The sequence below is a fragment of the Homo sapiens genome, chromosome 4 (assembly GCF_000001405.40).
Source record: "Homo sapiens chromosome 4, GRCh38.p14 Primary Assembly".
In the NCBI taxonomy this organism is placed as follows: domain Eukaryota; kingdom Metazoa; phylum Chordata; class Mammalia; order Primates; family Hominidae; genus Homo; species Homo sapiens.
The window spans coordinates 89,152,903-89,163,318 of NC_000004.12; the positions used below are offsets into that span (position 1 = coordinate 89,152,903).

The 10,416-nt window shown below is 36.1% G+C and overlaps 1 annotated feature.

Annotated features, from left to right (window-relative positions):
* Positions 1 to 529: an enhancer, noted in NCBI's record as "NANOG hESC enhancer chr4:90074054-90074582 (GRCh37/hg19 assembly coordinates)". NCBI's record gives its function as "activates a minimal SCP1, AML or CMV promoter by ChIP-STARR-seq in naive H9 embryonic stem cells {active_cell/tissue: H9 hESC(naive)}" and the evidence as "EXISTENCE:reporter gene assay evidence [ECO:0000049][PMID:30033119]".

The window sequence follows — 10,416 nt, forward strand, 5'->3', positions numbered from 1 at the left end:
TCTTAAAGCAAAAAACTAAAAGAAATTGCAATTATTGTCTTCATTTTACAGTAATAAAAATAAATCTCAGAGAGTTTAAAAAAAAAACTTGCCTAATGTTGCATTGCTAGCAAATGGCTGGGCCAAGATTTACACTTAGATCTGTCTAACTCCAGTGAGTATTTCCATTCATTATATAATCATGGGGTTGATCGAATCCCTGACTGGGCATCTTTCTCGTCTCCCTGCTGTGAAGTAACATATGGGCCCTCCTGCTGGTTAAGCACTTGAGTCACCTTCCTCATCTGGAGTCAGCTTTCAGTATAATCTTTTCTTCCTGCAGGCCCTAGAGATTTGGTCTGCTCACCTTTCTTCTTTCCAGCTGTCACCACCAATTCTCCTTCCTGTGGTTCATCTGCTAGAATTCTGGGGTAGGATACAGATTGTCCTCTTTTCCTCTTGTTATTTCAACAACAGCCAGAACAAAAACTTCAAGTTTTTAATGAGGATCTCACTAGCTAGCAACTTCAAGATATAATATAATAATATTAGCAATCACTTCTGTGCTTCACTACTAGAAGTTTACTTTGCTATTAAATTTATTATTCATAATTATTTTGGCATATGTACTTATGCCACTTATATGGCAATGAGTAGAGTTTTAGTCTGATTTACAATTACAATTTCCTAACCCCTGCTCTTTCTGTAGGCTTGCAAATGCTCCGATTTATCTTCCTATAGCTGATGCTTGAAAGAGAATAAAAGATATTACAGAAGATCACACATATCAAGATTTACATTTTAAGAAATAAATGAAAGAAGAGATTCCTTGCCTTTAATGAGAATGGCTAATATTTATGGAGTACTTAATATTCTAAATGCTTTCCATATAAAAGTCATGATGATTATCTACATTTTACTGATGGAGAAATCAAAGCACAGCACCTTTGCAAGGATATGAGTAAGTTATGGAAATAAGGTTCAAACACAGGTCTGTATAAGAAATGCATTAAGCTGCTTCTTAAAAACACCATAGAAACACAAATCATGAGTATTATGTAGAGAACAAATTTCATTGTTTGTATTTTTTAATCCTGCAATTCCTTTGAATCTCATTAGTTTGTTTTCACATTTGTGGTATTGTTTGATGTTGTTGAAAATGGATCTCATTTTACTCTAAAAAGTTTGTAGTTAAATAATAGGTGAATTGCTCTGTAAATGTGAATTTCTAAATTTAGTTATTATGGGGCTAGTGGTTTAGCTAGTTGCTTTTGAGGTCCTTGGTTTAAATTAGGATTTCTAAGTTTAAACTTCAAAAAACATACACTTGCCTGTTGTCTTCTGGATTCCATGATAAATACAAGCAGATAACACCTATGATTAAGCTACAGCTATACAATCAGTTTTACAGTCCTCTTCTTATATATCTTATTAATTGAAATCCCCTTCTTACTGTGGTTAAGTGTATTTTCTTTAGGTTAAACCCTTAAAATACATCTAACATTCTGAATGAATTAATCATCTCTATAGACATTTTTTTCTGTAGCCTATTTTTGAGGAAAAGAGCAAAAACACCCTCTCACATAACCCCCAAAACAAAATTGGCATTGATTTGAGAACCTGTTATTTGTCTTTAATGGACAGTTTTATACAAATGTGTTCAGTAAACTGTGCATAGTTCTTTTAACAGAATGGCTTTGTAATCTCAGGAAAGTTTTTTTTTTTCAAGAGAAATGAAGATTATTTGTCCAACAATATGTTCATTTTCCATTAAAAACACATTATACTGCCTAAAATGTCTCCCCACTAATGATCATAAATTAACTTGAAAAGACTCATGAGTTTATAATATAGGTGACATTGGTCTAACAAGCTTATCTTTTATCCAACCTCATTAGGCTCTTTAGATAATTTTTTAAACGCTTTGATAAATAGAACAGAACATACAATATGTAATGGGAAATATTTTAAAGGTCATTAATTAAAACCAAAAATCAATGATGCTACTAAATTCTAAGGCCATTTTTTAGAAAAAGATTATCTTATATATATCTGTTCCAGCATGAGATCATTTCCCCCTAATTTATGGTGAATTTAGGTTCAAAACCCTATCAGAGGGAAGAAGTTGATAGAGATTAGTCTGTGGCATTTAAAGACTCAAAGTCAAAACACAGGCTATCCCTGTGGAAGTGTCTGCAAAATGCCAAGCATCCAGAGCGGTGCTGACCAATCAGCGTTTTGTAACCATATTTGGCTATTTATTTTTAAATTAACTAAAATGAAATAATATTAGAAATTCACTTTTTTAATTGCACTAGACACATTTCAAATTTGTAATAACCATCATCACAGAAAGTCCTACTGGATATCACTGATTCAGAGGGCTCAAGCAATACTCCCACCCCAGCCTCCTGAGTATCTAGGACAACAGGCAAGAGCCACCATTCATGGCTATTTTTTTAAGTTTTATTTTTATTATTATTTTTTGAGACAGGGTCTCACTCTGTCACCCAGGCTGGAGTGGAGTGGCATAATCACAGCTCACTGCAGCCTCTACCTCTCAGGCTCAGGTGATCCTCCCACCTCAGCCTTCCAAGCAGCTAGGACTACTGGTGCGAGCCACCATGCCAGGCTAATTTTTGTATATTTTTGTAAATATGAGGTTTCATCATTTTGCCCAGGCCTGTATTTTTATTTTTTGTAGAGATGGGGTTTCACTATGTTGCCCAGGCTTGTCTGAACTCCTGGGCTTAAGTGATCCTCCTGCCTCAGCCTCTCAAAGTGCTGAGATTACAGGTGTGAGCCACCATGCCCTGGCCTTTAGACAGATTCTTAATGTTCATCAAGGTGTTTGGTAACACCTAAAAGTAACAATGAGTTATTTTTCCCAAGCCTGGAAAATTGAGATAAAATAAAAATAACTTTATTTTTCATTCAACAAAACTTTAATAAAACTCAATGCACTAGGAACTAGTTAAACAAAGATGAAGAAAGTGTGATTTCTGACTTGAGAGGATTACAGTCTTGTGGATGAGCTGGAAAAACATCCAGCCATTATACAATGTGGTTTTTATTAAAATGATGTTACATACCAAACAAAGTCATTAGCTCTGTCTGAAGGAACTGAGGAAGACCTCAAATAGGAGATGATAGTTGAGCTATTACAGTAACAAAGTTATTTTTTAAAAATAATATACATTCATAACACAAAATAAAAGGGTCAGTCTCTCCTGATGTCTGTATGAGTAAATTTGAGAATGGCCCTGACTCCAAGACAGTATGTCCCATTAACATTCTGTAGCATACCCTTGTGCAGATATTTCCACTGAATACTATTCTAAAGCTATGTACTGGATTTTATGAATATAACTTGATCTAGTGTGCAGTTTTTTGGGACAATCTGGACTAGCAACAAGAACTAGTATGACCCATGTGATGCTGGACATAAAGCAATTAAACAGTAAAGAGCCTGAGCACTCCTAAGCTTGCGCTACCAGGCCATGATTAATGGTGTCACATGGAGAATGTCAAAGGGCCACGGAGTGAGTGGCTCCATCTCCAGTGTGACTCTTGCAGATTTTCAAATGTCCCTCTCAACTCTGCAGCTTGAGGAGAATGTTGATCATGCCCAAGAGAATGCCGGACTAGGAGAGTAAAAGAACAGAAGGCAACATGGCGAAACTCCGTCTCTACTAAAAATCCAAAAATTAGCCGGGTATGGAGGCATGCGCCTATAATCCCAGCTATCTAGGAGGCTGAGGCAGGAGAGTCGCTGGAACCCAGGGGCAGAGGCTGCAGTGAGCCGAGACTGCACCACTGCACTCCAGCCTGGGCAACAGAGCAAGACTGAAAAAAAAAAAAAAGAACAGAGGGCTCAGGCTGAGAAAACCAGATTATTGTTTCTGAAGACCTTTCAGCGTGGATGTTGTGGGACAGAAGTGCAATATGGCACGCGAGAAATCCTGGGATGGGCTTGAGGGATCTAGATAGAATCAGCACAGAGACTATCCCTTTAGTAGCCTGGCTAAGTACAGTGATCGGTTTCTTAAGTGATAAGGATTGGAAATTAATTAGCCATTATAGAATGTAGTATGTAAATATGGATGGGTGTTTGTATCAGTCAGGGTTCAGTCAGAGAAGCAGAGCCGTTAGGATATACATATATATATATATATATATATATATACACATATATATCCTAATGTAGTTATTTGACTAACCGTTAGAGTTTGTTTATATATATAATTATATATAAAGCAAAATTATATATAATATATAATTATATTAATATGTATTATATATAAAAGTATATATTATGTTAATAATATACTATAATTGTATTTTATATAAAATAAACTCCAATGGTTAGTCTAATAACTACATTAGGATATAGATATCCTATGTAGTAATATATAATTATATAATATATATTATATATTATATGTAATATATAATTATATATTATATAATAATATATATATTATATATTATATATTATATTATATATCTAATATAATAATATATATAATATAATATATAATATATAATTATATATTATATATTAATTAATAGATATTAATTAATATATAATATATAATATATATAATATAATATATAATATATAATATATAATATATATTATATATAAAACAAAATATATACATATCTGTAATAATCAGATATTTGCTACGGGGATTTAATTTTATGCAATGCTGGGAGCTGGTAAACCAGTCTCCGTAAACATGTCACCCTTGTGTCTGATGTTAAGAGTTTGAAGTCTGCCGAGCAGGTAGTAGGGAATGGAAGACAGATGGTAAGTGGAGGAGAGCAAGAACAAGCTGTAACCCACAGTATGAGCTCAAGCACATGAGGATAGACAGAAACCTACGTCAGTTCTGTCTCTGACCCGGAGGGTCTTGTGGAAGCTATGACCCATTATGATGGAGCTGAACACATACCCGGACCATGGGAATGAAGCTGAATCTTCTTTGGCTGTGTGATGAATTTGCCCCTGGGCCATGATATATTATGACTGACTGCGAGGCTTCTGAGAGCACTATCCACTATACAAAGCTTAGCACACATGTCAGCACATATTCATCTCTTATTCAATATTTGTTGAAAGAATAATAAAATAAAGTGTGTGTGTGTGTATATGTGTGAGAGAGAGAGAGGGAGGGAGAGAGAGAGAGAGAGACAGAGGGAGAGAAAGAGAAAGAGAGAAGAAAGAAAGAAGAAAGATAGCAAAGAAAAGGAGAAGGGAAGGAAAAAGAAAGAAATGTACAAGGTCACTAAATCATCCAAAGACAAATCTTGGGCTAAAATCCAGGTAATTTAGACATTTTCTTAAGAAATCAAATAAAACAACACATCAACACATATATTTTGTTGACATATACTTGATAATATATAATATAAAAATATCAGAAATATCCAATAGTTCATTACATTATGGTGTATAAAAGTAATATTTATGAGAGAAAAATTAATGCTTTGTTCTTCAAAAACATGTTATTCAAAGAACATTTTCATGGATTTGTAGGGTTTCCATGAATATTTGATTTTGATAGTTTTGATGTGTTGTTTTTCTTTGTTCAGTGATCAAATATAATCTACATTAAGTGTCAGGAATGATTACTTTGCAGTCTCTGGAGCTCCAGGGGTCTATGGACAGAATTCAAGTGGCCCATGAACTTAGATAGGCAAAAAAGGACCAATTTTCTCCACTAATTTCTAACTGTAATAAAACATTTCCTTCAATTATGAATACAGCATAGGCAACAGACCACAATAGTATCAGCCTGTCACATACATTTTCATATCATATTATTGTTGTTGCAGATGTCTCAAAAAATGTATACACTATCAGCTCAAAATCATAGTAGTTATTAGATTAACCACCACATTTTGTTACTGATATGTTAATTAAACACACGGATTAGTCTAATACATTTGTCATTTTAAATCTCTTGATAACTATATTTCAATATAGTTTCCTTTCTAAATCTAGTGTTTTATTTTATGCATTTAAAAACATTATTATGAAAAAAGGCCCATACGTTGTCAAAGAGTCCCATGAGCACACAAAAGATTAAGAAACCCCGCCTTTCATAAGGACAAAATGTCTCCCTTCATTGCAGTATTTTTTTCTGATTAGTATTCTAGAGATGCCAATGACAAATAATGGTGCTTACAGGCATTGTACACAAGGTGGCAGCACATTATTGTTTCATTTCCAAAAATCAAATTTCCTCATTCCTGGCCATAACTGGATGCTAAGTGTAAACACTAAGATAAGGTAATACATTTTTAGAAAATAGATTTTGATATTTTTCAGCCTTCTAGTTTATATTAATATCCTCTTTTCTGTGCAATATATAGCACACATAAGATGTTTCTATTTAATAAACAATTTTCTCAGTTTGAGACACACAAAAAGAAATTAAATTATGTTCAGAACTATTCCTCAATATGTTTTCTAAATACAGTCCTCCCACCTCCCCCCCCCCAAAACAACCACCAAAATTCTTATGAAGAAAGACTTTTTATAAATTACCCTTTGGGTAATTTATGAATTACATAAAACTTCACCCCCAATATATACCATACTCTCTCTAATTAAAATTTGTGATGTTTTAATTGAAAAAGGAAAGGAGGGGTGGTAGAGCTGACTAAAGGATTGTTGGTGCAACAGATTACAAAATGGCTCTAATTCCTCATTCCTCCCATGAAAAGGCACAGTTTATTTCTCCATCTCTTGAATTTGAATTGTTCTTGGGACTTGCTCTGGCCAGTAGAATGTGTTTCCTTTTGCTGTCTGCTTTCAGGACTGGGCACTGAGCTTACTTGTATTTGCATCTCATGAGAGGACATGCCTGAGTTAGTCTGCTGGAAGGATGTGACATATACATGGTGTATGAGACCTGTTAAGATAAGCTGGATTCTCCAAGCCAGATAAAACTTAGAAAAATGAGATCCCCACCAATAGTCAGTCTACACCCAGACAAATGGGAGAGGCCAGTTGAGGCCAGAAGAATCACCCAGCCTAAGTCTCTGAACTGCAGCTGATTCCAGATGTATGAGCAATAAATACACTGTTTTTAGCCATTGAGTTTTGTCATGCTGTTTTTGTCCAGCATTATTTGTAGAATAGGTAATGTTTGTAAGGTCTTCTTTATTTCTAACTCTGTACAAGTGCATGACTGGTCCAGATATCTTTCAGCAAAATGTACCTGTAACCTAGCATTCCATTGAATCAAGTATTTTGGCATACATAACATTTACTGAGTGTTTCTATCCACTTAGTAGATCTAGTTCTGACTTAAGGTATAGGAAGTCAAGGTCGAGGAAGAAATTGGGTTTTGGGAGTTAGAGGAAGAAATTGGGTTTTGGGAGAGGAATGTGTTATAAGCTAAATGTCTGTAGCTCCACCCACCTCCCCAAATTTATATGTTGAAGCCTTTAACCCCCAATATGATAGTATTTGGAGATGAGGCTTTTGGAAGGTGATTTGTTTTAGATGAGGTCTCGAGGGTGGTGCCCCATAGCCCTTATAAATAGAGACACCAGAGAGAGTTCTCTCTCCCTTGTGCACAGAGAAGAGGTCATGTGAGTACACAGTGAGAAGGTGGCTACCTCTATACAAGCCAGGAGAAGAGGCATCAGAATAAAGCCTACCTTCCTGACCTTGATTTTGGACCTCCTAGTCTCTGGAACTGTGAGAAATAAATTTCTATTGTTGACGCTACCAAACCTGGGATATTTTGTGATGGCATCCAGAGCTCACTAATACAGAACGGAAAGACAAAGTAAGGGAAAAGTGATAACGAACAACTATTCAGTGTTTTCCAGCATTCTAAAGATTTTAATATAATTTCATTTAATTTCTTACAACTAAGTGAGGTAGATACTATTACCAACAACCTCATTTTACTTACAGATGAAAAATGACAAAGAAAGGCTAAATAACACGTCCAAGGCTTCATGGCTAATAAGTGGCAAAGTCAGAATTTGAATCAAAGATAATCTATCTCTAGAAGCTGTGTTTTTAACTGTTATTTCATACTGCTAGGAAATGAGCAGTGGCAAACAAAGACAGGAAGAGAAAAACTCAGTGATAAACACTGTGTTGTCTGGTACATTACACACTGCCATGAAGTATGCCAAAGTAGTATGGCATGCTGCTTTGTTGAAGATATGAGGAGACATGTTTTACTGTATATAATAAAGCAACATTCTACGTACACTTGCAGGCTTGAATAAGAAGACATTTAAAAACATTTATCCAGCATTGTTTCATATCAAATACATATAGGATGGATGTACAAATTGCCTATGTTATTAGTTCTACCTACAAGGTGGCAGAATAACTTGATAATTAGGCCTGCTATACTTAATTGGCCAGGTAGAACATCTGAAATATGGGAAAATGATTTTCCCTGGCTAGACAAGGAGTTGCTGTTCTCTTCATTTAAGCAAGAAGCTACCATAAAATTCTGCCTCACTCTGACAGACTAGCTGGAGGAGAGAAGCCTCCCTGAGCAAACTGACCACCCCACTGAAAGTACCCTTCTGCTCCTGAGTGTGTAGAAGACAAATAAGAAAATTTCCAGTTTATTTGGAGGTGCGAAGAAGGTCTGAGAATTGAGAGCCTCTGTGCCTTCCAGAAGGTCCTTGTTTTCAGGAAGAGAGTGGATGCTATTGTGAGATTGCACGGTGATTTGATAATATGGTAAATTTTCAGCAGATTAGAGCCCCAGTATGAGACAAGGGAAAGAACAAGGGTTGGGGAGTGGGGAAAAGGGGGAGACCATGAACTGAGGGTGCAAGAGAATAGTCTATGGCCACATCAGCCTTAGGTGCTTCAGCAGCCAACATAGTCAAGACAGAGACCTCCCAAGATGAGGTGGGACAAGCTCCAGCTTAGAGAAGGGCCAGCAAAGATGACATGCCAATGCAGATATTAGATGGGCACCCACACACGTATTACGTATTCTCCCTAGATCTAAACCCCTTTCTGGGGAGAACAATGGAAGGGGAGGACAAGTAAGAGATGATGTTGTCCAGATATGAAGTTTGGAGTTTGAATGGACTAACTGAGTTCCCAAGAGGTTAAGAGTTATGCAGAAAGTGACTACATTGCCTTTAATTGGCAAGTTCAATGAGTCATTTTCTGCATCTCCTTCCCACATCCAACCAAATAAAAGATGTATGAGCAAGCTGAGCTTAGTTGTAAACAAGAGAAATTTCTGACCTTATTTGTTGTAACTATAAAAAATAAAGCTGCCATATATCCAAAACACAATCCACTTTCCTACCAAGTGTTCAGTCTGCTATATACCCTGCAACATTAATCTGTTTTGTTTGTTTTCACAAATTCTTTCTGATATTTGCTTTATACAATATTGACAGAAATTCTGATCAGAGGAAAAGAAGTGTTGACATAGTTTTATACACACGTCAATCATCATTTTGAGAAGGTACTAACATACCTATATTATGAATATGAAAAAATATTTTTCTAAACTGCAATTAGAAGATACTAAATATTAATGCATTTGTATTAGTTATTGCTGCATAACAAATCACTCAAAACAAAATGAGTGAAAACGATAATAATTATTTATTATCTCACAGTTTCAGCGGGTCAAGCATTCAAAGAGAGCACAGTTGGCAGGGTCTGTCTCTGCTCTATAAGGTCTGGGGCCTCAGCTGGATGATTTGAAGGCTGAAGGGCTGAAATTGTCAAGGGCATGACTTGAGCTGGAGGGTATACTTCCAACGTGACTCTCTCACATGACTGACAAGTTGCTTGCTCTACAGGGCTGCCTGAGTGTGCTCATGACATGTCAGCTGCTTTTCTCCAGAGTGAATGATCCAACAGTTTAAAGCAGAAGCTGCAATAATTTTTAGGACCTATCTTAAGAAGTCTTATACTGTCACTTCTTCAGGATTCCACTTGTCACATAGGCCAGCCTGATTCTGTGTCGGTGGAGACTACACAAGGATATTGTATTAGTTAGCTATTGCTGTGTTGCAGATTACCTTGAAATTTAGCAGCTTAAAGCAACAAATATTAATATTATCTTAGAGTTTCCGTTGCATCAGGAATCCAGGATCAGCTTAGTTGGGTGGTTCTGGTTTAGGATCTTGTACGCAGTTGCAGTCAACCTGTCAGGGCTGTAGTCGTCTGAAGTTCCACTGGAGCTCAAGAACTGCTTCCAAGCTCTCTCATGTGTTAGTAGGCTTCAGTTCCTTGCCATAGGGGCCTCTCCTTCGGCTGCTTGGGTTTCCTTATTACTTTACAGCTCGCTTTCCCCAGAATGAGCAATGCAAAAGACAGAAACAAAGAGCCCAAGATAGAAGCTATGGTCTTTTATGACCTAATATTGGAAGTAACATACTGTATTTGTTTCCTTTTGCTGCTGTGACAAATAG